The 21,851-nt window shown below is 46.1% G+C and overlaps 1 protein-coding gene and 2 pseudogenes across 22 annotated transcripts in view, besides 1 other annotated feature; all 3 read right to left on the minus strand.

The window, feature by feature from the left end:
* Nucleotides 1-21,851, minus strand: part of PLEKHA7 (pleckstrin homology domain containing A7) — a 237,118-nt gene that overhangs the window by 185,884 nt on the left and 29,383 nt on the right. The window lies entirely within an intron of this gene.
* On the minus strand, nucleotides 11,241-11,307 carry LOC124902817 (uncharacterized; annotated as a pseudogene).
* On the minus strand, nucleotides 11,466-11,864 carry RPL36AP37 (ribosomal protein L36a pseudogene 37; annotated as a pseudogene).
* Nucleotides 18,445-19,083: an enhancer, noted in NCBI's record as "H3K27ac-H3K4me1 hESC enhancer chr11:17003172-17003810 (GRCh37/hg19 assembly coordinates)". NCBI's record gives its function as "activates a minimal SCP1, AML or CMV promoter by ChIP-STARR-seq in naive H9 embryonic stem cells {active_cell/tissue: H9 hESC(naive)}" and the evidence as "EXISTENCE:reporter gene assay evidence [ECO:0000049][PMID:30033119]".

Raw genomic sequence — 21,851 nt, forward strand, 5'->3', positions numbered from 1 at the left:
TGGTGACATTAGAAAAGCAGAGAAGCAAGTGCCTGACCTATAACCATATTTGGTATTTTCTAGACTTCAGCATCTTTTATTTTTAGAGGTATGTGTTCCAATTTGGTTGAGGTAGCTGCAGGCTCCTTGTACCTTGCTTAATTTAGGACTTTTTTTTTTCTTTTTTGAGGGTGGAGTAGGAGTTAAATACAGCTTTACTCAGCCACCCCCTGGATTCTAAGCCCTAAATTTAACTCCAAAGAAACTTGTCTTGCCCTACTTCATGATTCCAAACCATAGACAGAAACTATTACCTGTTTCTGCAAATCAGAGAGCCCTGACAATGGAGCACCAGGGAGGTGTGTCATCCATCCTGGGGTGCTGGGCTGCAACACTGGAGCTGTCGTCAGCTGACTGGGGAGAGGGGCAAGAGGGGGAACAAACGGCCCTACTTTGTGGCCTAAATCTTGATGAACATGTCCCCTGGGGAGCCAGGAGAGCTATTTGTACAGCCAGTCAGAATGACCAGGGTGTGGCCACAAGTGTCCCATTCGAGTAGCCCTAATCTGGCAGCAGGTATCCAAAAGGACAGGGACACCCTGGCATCTGATCAGTAGGTGCACTGCATTTGGACAAAAGAATTAACTACCTGTTTCTCCAACCCTGCCCCCAGCCACCTCTCATTGCTTTTATGTTTAAGGTCTTATTCTTACTTTATTATATTCGCAATGTTGTGCAACCAACGCCACTATGTTCCTAAAACTTTGTTACTACCTCAAACAGAAGCACTCTTAGTTATCAACAACCCCCGATTTCTCCCTTCCCTCAGGCCCTAGAAACCTCTAATCTACTTTCTGTTTCTATGTATTTGGCTATTCTAGGTATCTCATAAAAGTGGAATCATAGAATTTGTCCTTTGGTAATTGGCTTATTTTACTCAGCATGATGTCTTTGAAGTTCCTCTGTGTTGTGGCATGTGTCAAAATTTCCTTCCTCTTCAGGGCTCAGTAATATTCAATTATATGTATATATCACATTTTGTTGATCCATTCATCTGTTGATGGAAACTTGAGTTCTTTTCACCTGTTGGCTACCATGAATAATGCTGCAATGCACCTAAGTGTACAAATATCTGTTTGAGCTCCTGCTTTCAATTCCTTTGGGTATATACCTAGACATGAAATGGCTGGATCACAGGGTAATGCTATTTAGATTTTTGAGGAACCACCAAAGCAGGGCAGCTGCACTATTTTACTTTCCCACCAGCAATGCACAACACACAAGAGTTCCAATTTCTCCACATCCTCACCAATCCTTGAGCTGTACCCAAGCCTAGGAAACAGCCTTTCCCTCATACCCCAGGATGTCTGCACACTCTTGGAACTTCCTGAGGGGCCTTGGGGTAACAGCAAAGGACTGCAACCAGAGAAGCAACTAGGAGTGTTTCACTCTGGGATTCCTTCAGTTTGGTAAAACTCCAGACAAAAAGCATGAGGGCTGGCTGGGCAGGGCCTTTCCTGCTTCTGAAAATCAGAGCACCTGAAATTGGAGGTCCAGCCAGCTGTGCGCTCTCTTACAGGGCACTGCGCTGCAGTAATAGAGCATTCCTTAGATACTGGGGGACACCAGGGGTCTCCAAAGTGCACAGCACTCAATCCTGAGGTGCTCAAGATGACCCACGGAGTTCTAGAAGAAAACAGTAGAACACCTATTCAGGTTTATTTTTATGCCATCCTTTTACAATTGTGTGTGTTTTCATTAGCACAGCAGGTATGTATATAATTTATAAATGAGCATACATGTGTTGGGGCAAATGCTCATTTATTAATGGGATATACATGATTTAAAAAAAAAAAAAAAAGGTTTGGGCCAGATACAGTGGCTCATGCCTGTAATCCCAGCACTTTGGGTGGCCGAGGCAGGCAAATCACTTGAGGTCAGGAGTTTGAGACCAGCCTGGCCAACATGGCGAAACCCCGTCTCTACAAAATATACAAAAAAAAACCCAAAAACATAAGTCAGGTGTGGTAGCGCGTGCCTATAGTCCCAGCTACTTGGGAAGCTGAGACACAAGAATCACTTGAACCTGGGAGGCAGAGGTTACAGTGAGCCAAGATCACACCACTGCGCTCTAGCCTGGATGACAGCACGAGACTGTCTCAAAAAGAAAAAAAAAGGTTTGAAGACCCCTATCTTAGACCAATTCTTCCTTTGTTGTAGTTTTTTCCTCTGAATTTTAATGTATTGTGTCAATGGCAATGAGAAAGATATCTGGGGGAAATAACTCACAAAACCCACCACCCTCATCCCCTTAGTGCCTGACACTTCTCTATTGCCAACTCACCTTTGGGTTCTCCTACTCCTGGGGGAAGTGAGAGACAGGCATCTGTAGACAGAGATGCAAGGGGAGGGGAGAATGGGCAGTGTATTTTCTTCTCCCTGAGACACATACCCTACTCCAGCTCAAAGCCCAGAAAAGGGAGGTCTGTATCCGAGAAGTGAAGAGCTCAGCTTTGGAATCAGAGATACCTGTGGGTGAGTAGTGGCAACCCCATTAACTTCTGAGGCAAATTAGGTCATTTCTTTTGGCCTCGATCTTCCCATCTATGAAATGGCAACAAAATACTAAGTATCTATGTCAGTGAGTGGCTGTAAGGAGTAAATGAGAGAGTCCAGATAAAAGCACTCAGTGCACTGCCTGCCCAGCACATTCCAGCTCTTTTAATAAAACAGGTAGAAAGGGCCAGGGGTGGTGGCTCACACCTGTAATCCCAGCACTTTGGGAGGCCAAGGCAGGTGGATCACCTGAGGTCAGGAGTTCGAGACCAGCCTGGCCAACATGGTAAAATCCCATCTCTACCAAAAATACAAAAATTACCCAGGAGTGGTGGCGCGTGCCTATAGTCCCAGTTACTCGGGAGGCTGAGGCAGGAGAATCACTTGAACTCAGGAGGTGGGGGTTGCAGTGAGCTGAGATCGCACCATTGCACTCCAGCCTGGGCGACAGAGCAAGACTCCATCTAAAACAAACAAACACATGCACAAGACACAGGAGAAGGAAAACTCTGGATAGAGGTGGAGAGAGTGAGGACAGATGCAGAAATGGGACTGGAGGCATGGTTGTGCATGTATGTGTGTGTGTGTGTGTGTGTGTGTGTGTGTGTGTGTCTAGGCTGCTCACAGTTATAAGAAACACCCCAGGTATCTCACAAACATCTACCAGGCAACCACTAGTGTGACACACCTTGAGGGATGAAGATATGAGTCAGGCAGAAAGTCCACCCTGTGGAGCCCATTTCCAAGGGCCACACTGTGAACCAGAAGCCCACTAGGGTACTGGGAAGAGCAAGCAAGGCTCAGGGGCATCTGGAGTCACTAGCCAGGGTGCACAAGTAAAACTGGGAGCTTAAGCAGAAGGGGCGTAACTGAGATCCAGGGCCTCTAACAAAAGGTACCAATCTGCAGTAACACACACCACTCAGAATCCAAGTGGAGCCTTGGGTTCCGTTTCCTTAAATTTTCCATTCGGATTTTTTTTTTTTTAACCTTTTCTCTTTTCCAGAGCAAACTCTGCAGGACTTTGTCATCTCAGATATCAGAGCAGAAACTCCACTCCCTGCTTTATTCCTTCAGTCAGCCCCACCCCTGCTCTGGCCATGAAGGTTTTATTGCTGTCGTCCACCTGGAGCCTGCCTGAATTCAGGCCACCGTTTCTACTGCCACCACCTTCACTGGGCTATCTCACAGCAAGAAGAGCTGCCCCAGCCTTGTGGCTTCATGAAGTGGCGAAATGGTTCATCTACAAATGGGCTACACATTAAATTACTTTTCAGGAACAAGGAGCCAAGCCTTAGGGCCTCCTGGAAAGGCCACCGAAGATACGGGGCCCTTGAAACTCTCCCAGTCAGCACAAAATCACTGATTCCAACAGAAATGCAGAAAGCATTCTAAGACACACATGCTCTCAATGTCCTTTGTTTTTAAATTCTCTACCTTATTTTTTAAACTGGCTGTTAAATTTCAGCTCAACAACTCATCAAGTACATTATTAACTGGCAAACGCTTCTGTGGCTTTGCTAGTTAAAGTTTAGAAAAGAACATTCCCATTAAAATATAATTTCTCCAGCAACCTCTAGGATAGCGCAGAAACCATTCCATTAGGGCAGACCCCAGCTAATCCACACTCCCTACCACTCAGTCAACACAGGATTTCCCCAAGTTGGCTTCTGTTCTCTTATAGCAAAATAAGCAAAAATCTAGGTGATTCAAATTGACCTTTGGCTGGGGAGCTCTAGGCGATGCTGGTCATGCTGTGTCTCTGCCACACAGGGGAAGGTGAGGGGAGGAAACAGCTCTGCTTAATGCCATGAGGCCCTCCATTCTTGGGGCCCACCCCTCACAAGGCACAGTGTAGGCACAAGTCACCTCCTGTCAGAGAGTCCTGGGCCTCACAGCACCCTAAGTCCAGGAGAGAACAGCCCCTACTCCATCACCCCTGCTTTGCCTCCCTCCAATCAGCTCCCCTTCTGCAACACTCAGGTGCACTCCAAACCAGCTTTCTCTGACGGACAGGCCAGGAGCCCAGAATGAGCACCACACAAGCACCTGTTTTATGCTCTCCAGGCACCAGAGTGATTCAGGCACCCCCATTTGACACACACACACTTGCCAGCTTGCTGCCTCACCCCACCCCTCACCAGCCAACTTCAGACCTTTCTTTAGACTAATTGCCCAGAAAGAGGTACCCATCTAAAGATAAGGAAGTCATTTCCTGTCTGACTACCTCCCATTCTCCCTTGGCATGGAAAGAGGGGCTCAGGGCATATAGGAAAGTGAGGAGGAGGCCTGGAGAGACGGAGGGAAAGAAGAAGGGAGAAGAATAGATAGAACCCCACTTAGCCCAAGTCAAAACCCCAACTGAGATCTAGAGCAGGCAGAGGGAATAGACTGCTAATGGGCTTTACCCACAGGAAGTCATCTAGGTGTCAAAGGACAGTTGCCAAGATCCTGAGGGGTTTGGCAAACGTACCTTGAAGTGAGGAGGCCTCACACACCTGCTGACACTCATCAGTAGAGATCTGCCTCCCTCTCCTCCCAAACAACCACAAGGGAAACTGTTCCAGACTCAGCTCTGGGCACAGAGACTCATGCACAGCACACACGAGGCTCCACAGTGGGCCACATGGAAAAGGCTGCTCTCCAGCTCTACTCCTGCTCAACTCATGGGCAAGCCAGCGCTGAGATCAGGCCTCCTCCTGGCCATGTCTGTGGGCTCAGGTCCTTCCAGGGCAAGGCTCTCTGCACTGCCCTCTGTCCTCCAGGGGTCCTCTGGATGCTGTTGTCCAACTGTTTCTGCCAGGCCATCTGGGGTGGTTCACCCCATGCCACATCAGATTAATGCAACATACTGCCAGAATTGCATGCCTGCACACCCTCCTTGAAGGGCTGCTTTGTGTTTCTTGCTTACAATGGAAAAAAACAATTTTTGCAGCGGAACAACACAGTTTGGAGTCTTCAATAGAGCAATGGAGGCCAAAGCCATCCAGTACACCCATGACTCCCCCACCACCAACAGCGCTTGCATGCAATGGCTGGCATGATAGGCCTGCAAACTCAACAAGCCTCATAGGGATTTCACATCCCCCACTTAACACTCTATACACTGCAGACTTCTCAGGAACACGCTAGTACCTGACAGCCTCCAGAAACGGATCTACTACTGCTTTCTCTAATATGCCCCCCATACCCACCTATGCCAAGAAGTTCTTAATGTCTAACCTAGGTCCTTCCTACTTAAGTCCATTTAGGGCCTCAGTAAAAAAGCAGAATGTGTGATGTCCTTCCTGGTGACCTTTAATATATCATGAACCCAGAAGGCCGAGCTTATGGGCCATGCAAAGGAAACTGAAGGGGTTTTAGGGTGTGTGGGAGGAGGTGAGAGAAGATTCTGGCTCTTTTGATGCAACTGACTGCCTGGTGCTGTCTCACTTTCCCATCTCCCATCCCCGCCACTCCCAAATGTCAGTTGCATCATATCACCTGACTGCAGAGTGCTTGAGCTGTGAGGGAGAAGCAGGAAGCCAGATGACAGAATTAGAGCTAAAAGATCTTAACAAGCTGATTCTCTGGACCTAATACAGCCATATGGAATCTAACAGAGATAAGCTTAAAGACCTAAATTTGAGACCAGCAGTTTAAGAGGAGAGAGAGAAGCTGAGCAGCAGTGCTTGATGTAATATGATTACATCTTAATAGGGAACCTATTTTGATTTTAGGTTGAATTGATTCAAGTATGATATTGAGGAAAAGACAGATGATGATCCCATGCTATTCTGAGCTGGCCAGTCACCAATTCTACATATTGCAATATGATGGACATGCATTGCTCATATGCATCCCTTCACTGGCAGAAGTCACACCTCCCATATCGTCATGCTGCAACTGTTCAGCCACCACGCTCTACCCCTAGGACAGGCCCATGTTCCAAGCAGGGGATCATAATCTCCCCTAAGAAGAGATGTATAGCTCCTGGGAGAGTGAGCATTTCTCTTCCTTGACAAAAGAGTTAGCAGACTTGAAAGATGGAGAAGGCAGGGCCCCCAAAATGCCCTTTGAGCACCAGAGTCCAACAGTGCCAAGGCCAGGTCAGGATTACACTGGGAGTTCCCAGATACTGGTGCCAATATCCTTCCTTTTCTCTTGAAGCTAGTTTGAGTTGGGTTTCTGTCACTTTCAACCTGAAGAGCTTACTAGTACATACACTATTAAGAGGATTACAGCTAAAGGGGAATATGCCCAGAGTGATGTCAAAGACAACGAGTAAACTAAAAGCCAAGTTTCATGAGGGAACAAGGATGATTTAACCTGGAAAGGAAAACACATAGGGCCACATGGGAGCCTCTTCAAACACTTAAAAGGTGAAAACTTTTTCTATGTGGGGACAGAGGACAGACCAGGACATTGGTAGAGGTTACAGAAAGGGGGTTTTCTCAGAACTTTGAATAATACAACAAAACAGATGAATCTGAACCTACCTCCTACTCCACTCCCTCAGACTCACTGGATTAAAGCAATTCCCTTTCTCACTCCAAAGTTGTTTCTTATCTTGAACAAATGGCAACTTCTAGAAGCCTCAGCTTCCAACCTTTATAATGGGGATAATAATCCTCCCCTACCAGCTTCAAGGTGTTATTTTAAGGATCAAAAGAGAAAATGTAGGCTGGGCACAGTGGCTCACTCCTGTAATCCCAGCACTTTGGAAGGCTGAGGCAGGGAGAATTGCTTCAGTCCAGGAGTTTAAGACCAGCCTGTGCAACAAAGTGAGACCTTGTCTCTGTAAAAAATAAAAAATAAAAAAAATAGCCAGATGTGGTGGTGTGTGCCTGTAGTCCCAGATACTACGGAGGTTGAGGCAGGAAGATCGCTTGAGCCCAGGAGGTCGAGGCTGCAGTGAGCCGTAATCGCACCACTGCACTCTAGCCTGGGCAACAAATCGAGACTCCATCTCAAAAAAAAACAAAAACAAAAACAAAAACTAGATACTGTGCATGAAATCACATTGTAGAAGAACAATTAACGAGGAATTGTCTATAACAGATTAGTTAAGGAAGCAAGAATCAAAACTATATGTACAACATGATCCCAATTTTATAAAATTTGTATTTGCAATGAGAAAAGACAGGAAGAAAAAAATGTTAATAGTAGTTAAACCTACAGGATTATAAATATTTTTTCCTTCTTGGGGCTTTTCTCTGCCTTCCTAATTATACAATAAATAGGTCATCTTTTAAAATCAGAAAAAGTTATATATCCTTTAAAGTGCTTTATCAACTGTAAAGAGCTATGCAAACAAAATAATGTGGGTGTCAAACAGGTCTCCCGGACTTTTCTGATCTGAGCATAGCAATGAGTCCTTGATTAGAGAATATCTTACTGTGTTTTTAATAGACAGAAACAGACGAGTATCACAAAGAAAGCACTTCAGTCTTAATTCAAAAGACCCAGATCTAAAATTCTGCATGACCTTTACACAAGTCAATTTCTTCACCAATAAAAGGAGGAGAGTGACAATATAGCTTTGTATGTAAGTGGATTTAAACACTCACTGAGAACCTCCAAATGCCAGCCTGTTCTGTAATTTTCTTTTATCTACTAATGTACAGGGAACAGTTTCCATTTCCTTAGTTAATATTTCACAGCACCATTTTTAATAGATGCATAATAATCCACTGTACAGAGGTGTCATGACTAATTTAGCCAACAAGTGGCAAAAGTTTTTTGTTTGGTTTGATTTCTGAAATACAGATATTTAATCTCTTCAGCAACCTTTCCAGGTTAGGTGAGTTCCAAGTGCTGAACTGTATAGGATACGCTCAATAATGGAAGCTGTTATTACTACCATAACCACTATTACTATTACCACACAGGTGCCAGGGACATATCCAAGTTCAGTTGAGTATTTGGGGCTTTGTTAAATGTTTCTCTGGAACCCAAGAAAGGTCAGGGCAGGAGATACATATTTGAATTATTATCTGGATACAAATACAGAGAAAAACATTTTTATTCTATTTTTTTCTTTTATAGTTTTTTTAAATATCTTTTTTTATTTTTAAGTGAAGGGATATTTTCGCAGATGTCATTAAGGACTCTTATCATTTTCCTGGTTTTTTTTTCTTTTTTATTGAGACAGGGCCTCGCTCTGTCCTCTAGGCTGGAGTGCAGTGGCACCATCTCAGCTTACTGCAACCTCTGCCTCCTGGGTTCAGGTGATTCTCATGCCTCAGCCTCCCAAGTAGCTATGATTACAGGCATGTGCCACCACATCTGGCTAATTTTTATATTTTTAGTAGAGATGGGGTTTTGTCATGTTGGCAGGCTGGTCTTGGACTCCAGGCCTCAAGTGATCCACCCACTTTGGCCTCCCAAAGTGTCAGGATTATAGGCATGAGCCACCATGCCCAGCAAATTTATTTTAAGTTTTTGAGATGGGGTCTCACTCTGTCTCCCTCGCTGGAGTGCAGTGGCATGATCCTAACTCACTGCAGCTTCAACCTCCCAGGCTCAACTGATCCTCCACCTCAGCCTCCTGAGTAGCTGGGACTACAAGCGCACACCACCACACTCAGCTAATTTTTGTATTTTTTGTACAGACGGGGTTTTGTCATGTTGCCCAGGCTGGTCTTAAACTCCTGGGCTGAAGCAATTCTCCTGCCTCAGCCTCCCAAAGTGCTGGGATTACAGGCGTGAGTCACTCCGCCCAGCTATTTTTATTTTTGAACCAGTCTCTCTGTTGCCCAGGCTGGAGTGCAGTGGTGTAATCACAGCTCACTGCAGCCTCCATCTCCAGGCTCAAGTGATCTTCCTGCCTCGGCTTCTCAAGTAGCTGGGACTGCTGGTGCGCACCACCATGCCTGGCTATTTTTTTCTTTTTTTTCAGTTTTTAGTAGAGATAAGGTCTTCCTGTGTCACCTAGGTTGGTCTCAAACTCCTGAGCTCAAACAATCCTCCTGCCTTGGCCTCCCAAAGTGCTGGGATTACAGGTGTGAGCCACTACACCTGGTCAAAACATATTTTAAAATCTTGCCTCCTTCTTGTTTTCCAAACACCTCCAAACATAAATAGCCATTAACTTACCAATACAATTACACACGTGCTGTGACTCAGCAGCTGGATTTTCATAAATGCCTAAAAAACTAGAAACCTCGGCCAGTAACCATACACCTTGACATAATAAAACAAAGTGTTTCCTAAAGAGGCATAAGCCCCAAGGCCTCCAGAAAATCCATTGGCCTAGATGGTTTTATAGAAAGAAAGTGGATTAATAGCCAAAAGAGAGAGGCTTGACTCTCGCTTGCTCCTTCCTTGAATCAAAGACCCTCTGTTTCCCTTTTTCTCCATTTCTGGCCCATCTGCCTTACAGGCTTATTGTGAAGACTGGGTGGGCCCATGTTGGAAAGCACCATATGACCCAAAAAGTGCCTGGATGTGTACTTTTATGTACTTTATGGTCTCCCTCTGATCCCACCAGGCACTTGCCAAGCCCCAGATCAGCTCTCTCACAGGGCCTTCCAGCCCCTTCTTCCCTCCAGATGGGCAAGAACACAGGCCACTAGAAAGCCATCACCTGCAGTGTTCAAATCATGCCCCACACAAGGTAAAGAGGTGATGTGGGGGCCAGAATCCCAAGTAAAGGGCCACCAACACAAAGACATCAGACTTGGCAGGGACCACCACACAGGGCTCCCAGATCGACCCCCTTCACACCACCATGCAACTGCCTCAAACTCTCCCCTGATGGCAGCAGAGGTGAAAAGAGAAGTTTCTCTTGGTGCCCCTTTTAAAAGCCATGCACTGTGCTGAATCATGATGTGAAAGAGTCTAACCACATGGTTCTCAACCCTCGCTGCACATTAAAATCACTTGGGGGCTTAAAGGAAAATACTGCCAGGGACCCAACCTCAGAGATTCTCATTCAATTGCAGGTGAGGCCTGGGGATCAGTGAGGGACAGGAACTTAGACTGAGCAGCTGCTTCCTATGATGGGCCCTATGCCTTGAGCCCACCCTGTCTGCCTCCAAAGTCCATGCCCTCCCCTGTCACCACTCTGCCCTCCAACCTGAGTCTCCCTCTGGAGTGTTCCTCCCCATCCACTGTGAGTATCAAACATGAAAGGCCCTGTTCAGTCGGGTGACTATCCACTCCTGCCACATCACCCACTTCCTCCCTGTGGACCAGCCCAGTCCTGGACAGTCTTGGACACCCCCAGGACATTCCTGCCATTGTCTTGAGCCTGCATGACCCCTCTCCCACCTTCTACCAAAGGGTTCTTCTTTATCATCACATACCTTTTACAGTGTCAATGTTATTCAACAAGCACATTTTTCATTTTTATTTGTTTTAAACTTTTCACTCTGAAAGAAAATTTAAGACTCACTTAAAAATTTTAAAATAGTTCAAACCAGATGTGGTGGTGCACGCCTATCATCCCAGCTACGTGGGTAAGATTCTCAGGTGGGAGGATTACCTGAGCCCAGGGAGGTCGAGGCTGCAGCGAGCCAGGATTGTGCCACCACACTCCAGCCTGGGTGACAAAGGGAGACCCTGTCTCCAAAAAAAAAAAAAATTGTTCAGAGAATTCTTTTTTTTTTTTTTTGGTAATGAAAACCACAATTTCGTCATTGGGTGCCACCCGTTTTTGCTTAGATTCACACTAGTTCCTTAGTGCTAATTAGCAGATACTGAAATGATCTTGACAGACTGCGCAAAATATGGAACGCTTCACAAATTTGCGTGTCATCCTTGCGCAGGGGCCATGCTAATCTTCTTGTTCAGAGAATTCTTGTGTACCGATCAGCCAGCTTCCCTCAGTGATAACATGTTATATTACAATAGTGCAATTGTCAAAAACAGAAAAACTGACATGGTAATACTATTAACTAAACTACAGACCTCACAGAGATTTCACAGGTTTTTTTTTTTTTTTTTTTTGAACATAAACTCAAGATTTTATTGTCTTCATAATAAAAGATGACACTTAGAACTGGATCACTTGGCCCTTTCTCTTCTTATCTCCTCCCAGTTCAAAATGCTTGCATCTTTTAATAGCCAGCATTCTCTTAGATCTGCAGTTGGGCTCAACGCACTCAAGCCTTAGCACAATCTTCTTTGTAGTTTTAGCCTTTTTCCGGAAAATCGGCTTAGTTTGCCCACCATAGCCACTCTGCTTCCTGTCATAACGCCGCTTTCCCTGGGCGTACAGAGAATCCTTGCCCTTCTTGTACTGTGTCACTTTATGGGGTTGGTGCTTGCCACACTTCTTACAGAAAGTCCGGCGGGTTTTAGGGACGTTAACCATGCTTGCGTGAGCGCTATCGGCGCGGAAAGAAGCCAGGTTTTTATATATACTATGTATATATGTACAGTTCTATGAGATTTCATCACATGCATACATTCATGTGTGCCCCACCACAATCAGGACACAGGACAGTTCCACCACTTCAAAGAAATGTACCCTCTTCTAAGTCTTCCGCTGATCTGTTCTCCATTACTATAATTTTGTCATTTCAAGAATTTTTTATCAATGAAATAATATACTATACAACCTTTTGAGACTAGCTTTTTTAAAAATTCAACATAAGCATGTATTTATTTTGTGATCAGCTACCACAATAAAGATACTCCCTTTTGGAAGACAACTCCAAAAAATTTTATCGATTACTGGCTAAGTAAATCGTAATTCAACTGTATAATGAAATCGTATGCAGCCATTAAAACTGATGAGATAAACATAAATTAAGGACATGTATATTTTTTCAAATACACAGTCAGCTCTCCATATCCATGGGTTCCATGTCAGAGAACCCATGGATATGGAGGCCAACTGTAAGAAACTTGAGCATCCACTGATTTTGCTATCTGTGGGGGCTCCTGGAACCAATCCCCAATGGATGCCGAGAGAGAAAACTATATAGTTAAGTGAGAAAATACAAAACTATATATTATCCCATTTTTGTTAAAACACACATATAAATACATAGATACACAGAGATAGACAACAAGATGTTAACAGGGATTATCTCTGGGTGATAGGATTACAAGGGATTTTTATTTTCTTGTTGCTTGTCTGCATTGTCTAAATTTACAACAGTGAATATAAGTAACTTTATGACTTTTTTAAATGCTTGAAGTAAAGCTCCAATTTTGCCATCTGTAACTCTTCCAGCCACAATCACGTTATTCTCTCAGCTAGCAAAGTATTGTGTGTGGGTCCCCATTCTAGGACTCACATCATTCAGAGGCTCAGCATAGCTGCTTGTGGGCTAGCCGGCCCCCACCTCAGGAAGGGGCTGTACTCATGAATGGTCTGCATCCCTCTGGCCCCTTTTGGCTCAGCCCTTGCCAGGCATAGGTACTCATCAATGGATCTGAGGCTGCAACCATACCAGGAGCTATTTGGCCAGAGCCCCAAGGCTCAAAAAGAAAGCCCCTGGAATTTCTCAGGGTATTTGGCATTCTAGAGTGAGTGACATCTTGGTCCCCACCACCTAGGCCTTAAGAAATAAGGCCTGGGAGTAAGCTATGAACTTTGGGAAATTGGCAAAGATCAGAGGCCATGCAATGTCTCTTTGAAATTCTGATGGGGGCTCCCTAGCCCACAGAAGAAGGGAGAGTGCTCCTCTGTGGTTTGCCCTATTTAAAATGGTTTTCTTATTCAATTTCTAATAGTCTACCCTATTCCCCTTGTTTCCTCCAGCACCCCTCTTCCCTCACTCAAGGGGAGAAAACAGGCTAGAAAGGCTGGCTCAGCCATAGAGCAGAGACGGTGTGGTACGGGGCCAGAATGCTGACAAGCACAGAGACGTAGCAATGTGCTGTACAACTTGAAGGAATTTCCCCAACTTCTGTGAGGCCCTATTTAACTTCCCTCTTATGAAGGTGGTTGGACTAGCTGCTATCTAAAATCCCCAGCCCTCTAGGCAAGATCTGTCCCAGACCCTCCTCTGTAAGCCACACTTCTGCAAAGAGAAGTAATGCTTTCCCTCTATTGGCACAACCAAGCTATGGAACAAACTGTTTTCTTAGAGCGGTTCGGATGTCTTCCTGTCATTTTTTTGGTCTCATAGGACATTTACTTTTAAAGCCAGACCCAAGGCAGGGGATCATGCCTGCTTAGCTCACTACCATAAGCCTAGCTCATGTGCCATGCTAGGCACTCAATAAATAATTGCTGAATGGATGCATACACGTATGCTTGCATGCCAGCCATTCAAGCTGAGCACCTGGCAGTGTGCAGTTACACTCCAGGACACAGAACACACAGCTATCTGTTTCTTCCTACCACCACACTGTCCAAGTCAAGACCTGAGATCCCCCAGTGCACCTCAGCCAGAGCATCCCCATCCCTCTCACTACTAATCTTGCAGATGGGTAAACTTTCTAGAAAAATGAGGTAACCTCCTCCTCTCTCCCTCCACCACTCTGCACTTTAAACAAACCATGGCCAGAAGAATCACCTTCAAACTGTTTCCCACCATGTCAACTCCTTGTTCAAAAGCTTACGACAGCTCCTAATTACTCAGAGAATCAGAGAGAACTCCTGGATCCAGTGCCCAAGGCCTCCTGACCACCTCCCTCCTTCCCTTTCCAAACAGGCTCCCACTTCTCAACTTCAAGAGCCCCCACTTCAGCCCAGACCTTCCACTGTTACACATTGCTCACACGTCTCCCTCCTCAATGAAACCTTCCCCACCCATGTCAGTCCTGCTAACTGTGCCTTTTCAGACTTCCTCTACCTCTTGTTTTCTATGCCCCTATTTATCCCTCCCGATCCCCTGGTGTATTTCTTTAGGTAAGAATGAATGACTTCAACCAAATGGTTAAATAGACAAGGACGGTGTCACCCTCTTCTCCATATCCCCTCAGTGCCCAGCACCATGCTGTTTACACAGCAGATATGAAATAAATACCTAGCTGGTTAACGCCCATCCTGCCCCAACTCAGAGCCTCCCACCCCTTTCCCATCATCCCAGTGCCAAACCTGCTCAGCAACTATGCCTAAGTGCCCAGACTGTGGCCCAGTAGCTGCTCTAGGATCTTTGGTAACTAGATCAAGGCACACAGTATGGTCAAATCCTCGCTTTGTCAGTTCCTAGCTGGGCAACTTAAGTAAGTTATTCAACCTCTCTGAGCCTTGGTATCCTTGTCTGTAAGATGAGGTAGAGTATTTCCCTCATCCTCGGTCTGCTGTGAGGATGAAACAAGACAACATCAGGGGCCCAGCACCCAGCAGACTTGAGGCAAGGCTTTCCCTCCCCCTTTGCCACTCCAACAAAAACCCACTGACTGAGATCTTGTGCATTAAAATCGGTTGGACAGCAGGCACACCTCCTGTCCCCTCACCTCCAGCTGGCTCCCTAAGACAGAGGAAACAAAGCCTGAATTTACTCCAGCTCCCCTCAAGCAGGGAGGTCTCTGGAAAGAGGTCTTTGTTAACACAACTTTAGTTTAAAAGCCTCTTTATGGGCCAGACACAGTTTCTATTTTGTAAGAGAGGGAGAATCAGCCTACAGCTTAATATCACTTAATGCTGATAACAAGGCCTTTTGTTCACGTCCCTCAATTAAATTCTGCAGTAATTAGTGGCCACCTACTCCTATTGCTTGAAGGAAACACGGGAAACAAAAGCAAGGCATGGTCCTTGTTCACAGAGACCTGATGCAAAACAGTTACATGAGTAACAAGAGAGAGAAAGTCAATCACAGGGAAAGAGGTGTAGCAGGCCTGAGCAAACCCAACCATGATGGGCTTTAGAATCACAGAGAATAATGGCAAAGTGGTAGCAGGCTAGATGCTGCACGTGTGGTTTTCCATTCTTTCATTTGATGTACATGTGTATCTTGCTGTATTTAGAAAAACAGATCTGCAGCATCATTTAATAGTTGGATGGTACCGAAATTTCATTAACCAGTTCCTAATGGATGGCCAGTTAGGTTGTTTGCAATTTCTTAGCATTATAAGCAAGTTGCAATGAACATCCCTGTATGCATACCTTTGCAACTTGTCTACTTACTACCCTGGAAGGACGGAGTCACCATAGTGATGGAACTGCTGGGTGTCTGTACTTTTGACTACCTCAATAAGCAATGAAATTATCCAATGTGCATATACAGAGTTTACCCTTTCCCAAAGCATATACATATAAACACACACAAGTACTCATACAAATATGCCTCCCCTTGTCTCCCACGCCCACACCCTGCTGCAGTTCAGGCCTGTATCATCTCTCATTTTATGGTCACAGGGGTCCTCTAAAACAGGCCTCCCTCCCCAGCCACCAGAACAAGATTTGTAAAGTTCCAACCTGATTCTTTTGTTGTTGTTGTTGTTGTTTTGTTTTTGAGACGCAGTCTTGTTGTGCTGCCCAGGCTGGAGCGCAGTGGCACGATCTTGGCTCATTGCAACCTCCGCCTCCCGGGTTCAAGCAATTCTCCTGCCTCACGAGTAGCTGGGATTACAGGCGCGCTACCACGCCTGGCTAATTTTTGTATTTTTAGTAGAGACGGGATTTCACCATGTTGGCCAGGCTGGTCTCGAACTCCTAACCTCACGACCCACCTGCCTCGGCCTCCCAGAGTGCTGGGATTACAGGCATGAGCCACCGCATCCAGCCTCCCAACCTGATTCTTTACTCGAGTGCCTCAAGTCATTCCACCTCCACCCCCACCACCTTCAGAGCAAAGCTCCAGCCCCACCTTCAGGGTAAGACATTCCCATTTTACAGACATGGGATCTGAGGCCCACCTTGCTCAAGGTCACACAGTCAGTTAGTGACAGAACCAGGATGATGCCCTAGCTCTCCTGAATATTAAACCCAATAATAGGGGAACTGAGGTGGCATAAACCATACATCACCATAGCTCCCTGAAACTAAAATTTTCCATTCTTTTTTCCTCCAACCCTTTCTAAAGCCTTTTACCATTTTTGTTGTTTTCAATGGAGATATACTTGCAAAATACTCAAACTTTGAGAACCTGGCCCTACAAAGTCAGCAAGATTAAAAAAAAAAAAGACATATTTCCTCCTTCTTTCACAGAGATTGGTTTCTCTGGCTAATCTTGAGTCGCAGCAATTCTCTTTGGTCTACCAATATTTCTCCTCATTTGGCTATCTAGTGACTGATTAACTCACAGGCAAGTCCATCATAAGCAAGCAGGTCTGTGTACACAGGCAGGGTCTCCACATCTTGTAAGGCTAACCTGTGTCTACCCCCAGCTATCCCACAAGGAGTGGCCACACTGGCAGGTACACTCAGTGGCTGAGAAGCAAGGGGTCCTGCCACAGGCAGACTAGAGGGAGGCAAAAATGGGTACGACCCACAGTAATGACCAACAGCCACAGGAAGTGCAAGGCAGAACAAAGGAACCCCTACTTAGACCTCCCTGATCCATGGAACCTCTTCAATGCTTGTTTCCTTCAAAGAAACTCAGTCCAGCATTGAGCCTAGAAAGACAGACATTCCAAACAGAAAACGGGAAGAATCACAATAGCAAGAACAGCTAGCATCTGCTGAGCCCTCGCAGCATGTCAGACACTGTACTCAAGGCTTTGTGTGGATTATCTCATCAACAAGCGTATGAGACGGGCACTAGTCTGAGGTCATGTCTAGGGCCACACAGTTAGTGGTGGAGCCAGGATTCAAACCAGAGCTGGTCCCACAGAGAGAGCCTGGCAAGTGGGCTCTCCACAGGCTGCCCCATGGGGGAGAATGGTAAGGAAATCCCCAGACACTCCCCAGTCCAGTCTGTTTTCCTGGATCCACAGCCGCCTCCCACAGGGCAATCCTGGCAGAAGGCAGAATGCTCAGTAAGGCATGGCGGATGAAAGCAGATGAGACATCAGAGAAGAACATGCTGTTCTTTGAGGTAGTTATGTTTTTGTTTGGTTTGGTTTGGGGGGGATAGGGGAATAAAAAACCAGCAAGATGGCCAGGTACAGTGGCTCACACCTATAATCCCTGCACTTTGGGAGGCCAAAGTGGATGGATCACCTGAGGTCAAGAGTTGAGACCAGCCTGGCCAACATGAAGAAACCCCGTCTCTACTAAAAATACAAAAAAATTAGCAGGAGGCTGAGGCAGGAGAATCGCTTGAACCCGGGAGGCGGAGGTTGCAGTGAGCCAAGATGGCACCACTGCACTCCAGCCTGGGCAACAAGAGCAAAATTCCATCTCAAAAACAACAACAAACCAGCAAGATACGGCCCAATGATGAAGGGTCTCACATATCAGTGTCTACTTTGGAGCTAATCTAAAAGAACACCAAGTACTCAGCACATAGTAGGCCTTTGATACCTTCAATAAACACAAGTCCCTCCTCTTTATGCAGAGAGATCAATGGGGACTCACTGAGGCTGTCTAGGACAGGGAGTGACAAAAGCAAATGTGCATTTTAGAAAGAGTGTTGCTCTGTTCCTCCTGCAGTCTCAGATGAGGCCCTTACAAGGAATGGAATATCGATGACCAGGACATAAGATTAAAATGACAAAATATAGTGATGGAGGCTCTTATCAGGTGTTTACTACATGCAGGTATGATTATCCTGAGTACTTCATATATGTTAATTTAATTCTCACAATGATTCTACGAGTAGACACTAGTATTATCCCCAATTTACACATAAGAAAACTGAGGCACAGAGAGGTTCAGCTGGCAGTGCTACCACCAGGATTCCAACCCAGTTGGCCTGACTTCAGAGCCAGTGTTCCTGACCACCCTGGTCCACGGAAGAGAAGAGCTTCCTGGAACACCTGCTGCTCTTCACCCCTCAGTGATGCTCCAGAACAGGCCACAGGATATCTCCCAGCCCCTCCAGCCCCCTACCCTCTCCCTTTCTCTCACTATTTCCAGTCAGCCCAGTGCAAACCATGCCCTGGCTAGAAACACCATTTTCCCCCAAGAGGCTGCTAATAGTAGACGGGGTTGGGGGGCGGGGCGGGGAAGGAGCTGCAATAACTTGGCTCTTGAGTTGCAAAGAGAAAAATGAAGGAATGAGGAGGAGTGGGCCACCAGATCCCCACAGATTCCAGGGTGGAGAATGTCCAATTAAAATGCATTCTGCCAGAGCCCAGCAGCAGCATTTCAACAGAGCCACCATTGTCTCCGTCTGAACTGCTGCTGCCCACAGCCCAGCAAGTGGCAACCAAACAGGCTGTCGTCATGGAGCCGGAATGCAGGGTCCTGGCCCTCCCCGAAGGCACCAGAAACACTGCTCTGTTTACCCACGTTGCCCTTATTTAAAAACAAAACAAAAAACCCCACTCCACCCTCGGCCCTTCGGCATGCAAGACACCAGGAAGGACAGACGGTGGTGAGAGGACACTCCATATGCCAGCAGCGTGAGGCAGGTCTGCCAGAAGGTTCCCAATGATCTGGCCAGGCTGGGGGGAACAAGTCTCCCCCAGGAAGCTGGGAAAGTACTTTGGAAATATATAAAAATCAGATACAAATAGATATCTGAATGGGGCATAAAGAAACTGTTAATGCCCTGGAAGGGCCCCAAGCCCCTTTACAAAAGCTTTATGCCCAAAGAATTTGGCCAAGGGCAAATGCAGGCTCCCTGCATAAATCAGAAACCTTGCAGGGCAGAGACAGACCTGTGTGTCCAGCCACCTCTGGGACACAGGCAAGCTTGAGGCGAGCCAGTTGCCCCTGGCTACAGCACCTGGCCCCCACCCCAACCCAGGAAAGGGGTGCAGGGGCTGAAAGCCTGGCTCATCCAGTGCTGAGCCCAGAAACAGAATGTCCAGGGTGACTAGCACATTCAAAGTGCTTACTGTCCCTGTCCCACTCTACAGAGATCTCAAGGACAGGTTTAATCAGGAACCCTAGACGAAAGCAGGAAGCAGAGTCAGTGGTGCTCAGAAAGCCATTCATCAGCTCTAGGCCAATGTGAAACCCGTGGTACCGGAGCCCCAAACAAACCAGTTCTAAAACCCGTCCTCCTGTGCAGCTCTCTGACCTCTGCCACCTGTGTCCACGACCTGACCCAGGCACAGGTGGCCCTCCATGCTTTAGCTTGGGTCTACCTCTCTTACCTCTCAGACTTCACCTCCCTCACTATCCCCTACACACACACACACACACACACACACGGAGAAAGAGAGACAGAGAGAGAGAGGGAGAGAGAGAGAGAGAAACTCCCAACTACTCCAGAGATACTGAACTATCTAGGATTCCTGGACTCCACACACTATTTCGAGACACTGCCTTACCTTCTGACTCAAAGGCCTTTCTTCCCTTCCTGACCTGGCTCACCCCTCACCCTTCAGGAGCCCACTCAAGCATCATGTGCTCTATTAAGCTTTCCTGGGCCTCCTACCAGATGATCAGGCTGAGTAACAGAGCAAGAACTGAACAGAGCCTCTTGGGACACCAGTAAACCTTTGCTTCATGGAGGTAGCACAGGGGATGGGAAGGTTGGAGAGGACTATAACTGACTCACTCTTATTTCAGAACCAAAAGCAATGGGGGAAGTCAGAGCAGAGAAGATTTCAGCTCAACCTGAAATGGAACTTCCTATCAATGAGAATGTGACAATTACAGGAGGGGCTTCCTTGTGAGGTAGTGAACTCTCCCTGTTATACAAAGTCATTGAGCAGAAGCAGTTTGGTCAGCACTGCTGCCGAAGGAGTCTCTATATCAGGTGAATAGGCAAACCACATCAGACCATGTGAGAGGCTTGAGACCTTTCCATAAAGGCCTGAGATTCCAGGGATGGAGGTAGTGAGGAGGGATGCCCACCATGAAGTCTGGGAGGAGGAGGGCAGCTCTGGGGTACAGCTGTAGCCCCTCCTGGGAACCCTAACAACCAGATAGGAAAAGCAGAATTCATAGGGCTGCTGATGTGGCATTTCTCGTTTACTGGCAGCTTCTGGCCTGCAGGTTGAGCTCCCCAGTCTAGATTTGTGGAGGCCAAGATTCTTCTCCTGTCTCCACTGCCGCACCACCACGCCTCACCATGACTACTAAACAGAAGATCCAGGCAGGAACAGCCAAAGAATCAGTCACCTTCTCCCTGCTCATTCCCAAGTCCAATACTCATCACTGTCCTCCTCAGGGAGAAGGCTCCCTGGATGCCGTAGCTCCCAAAAGGGCAGAAGATAGGTGGAATGAGGGCCCAGGCCAAGACTAGAAGGCACCCAGGTCCATCTTTAATAATATTACCCCAGCTTGGGCAACATGGCAAGACCCGGTCTCTACAAAAAAAAATTAACAATTAGCCAGGCATGGTGGCATACACCTGTGGCCCCAGCTACTCAGGAGGCTTAGGTGAGAGGGTCACTTGAGCCCAGGAGGTCGAGGCTGCAGCCTGGGCAACAGAGTGAGACCCTATCTCAAAAAATAATAAAAAATAAAAAGAATTTTAAAATAATATTATCATGAAGAACAAAACTACCATTTAATGAGGGCTTATTTCATACCAGGTACTGTGTTAAACATGCTACCTACATTATCTTTAATCAGTCTATTCTACGTACAACAACCATAATTTAACAGAGGAATGGCATGATCTGACTTTTCTTTAGAATAAGTATATTTTAGAATATTATCCTAAATAATTAAAATATTTAGAATAAGTACTTAGAATAATTAGAATATTTAGAATAAATATTTAGAATAATTATCCTTATTCTAAAGCAAAAGTCAGATCATGCCACTCCTCTGTTCAAAGCCTTCCATTGTTCAAAGCCGTCCAGTGAATTCTCTGCTGACTCAGGGTGAAAGCTCAAGTCAAGGGCCTGCACCTCTCCAGTCTCAACTCCTACTCCCTGAGCTCCATCCACTCTGGCCTCCTTGCTGTTTCCTCGTCATGGCATGTCCTGCCCCTACATGGCTTGATCAGATCTCTACCCAAATGTCATCTCCACAAAGAGGCCTCTTCTGACCATTCCACTCTCACACCCAGGCCTCCTGTCTCCTTTTCCTGCTCATTTTTCTCCATAGCACTTACCATCCTCTGATACTATATATTTTAACCATTTCGTTTGCTCTCTTTCTCTCCTGCTAATACGTAAGCTCCATGAGGGCAGAGACCTTTATTGATTTTGTTCACTATCCCATCCCAGCATTTAGAACAATGCCTGGCTCCAAGTAGGCACTCAATAAATATTCATTTAATAAAGGAATGAATGACCCTACAAGGTAGATGTTCTTACTAGCTACTGACTATAGATGTGGAAACTGAAGCTCAGAAAAGTTGACTCACTTGTCCAAGGTCACACAGCTGGCAAGCAACAGAAGTGGGATTAAAATTGAGGCCTGACAGCCCCCTTAACTCTGTGATGGCATCTTCTTTCATCAAAAGGAAGGATCCGGA

This window comes from Homo sapiens, chromosome 11, assembly GCF_000001405.40.
Source record: "Homo sapiens chromosome 11, GRCh38.p14 Primary Assembly".
In the NCBI taxonomy this organism is placed as follows: domain Eukaryota; kingdom Metazoa; phylum Chordata; class Mammalia; order Primates; family Hominidae; genus Homo; species Homo sapiens.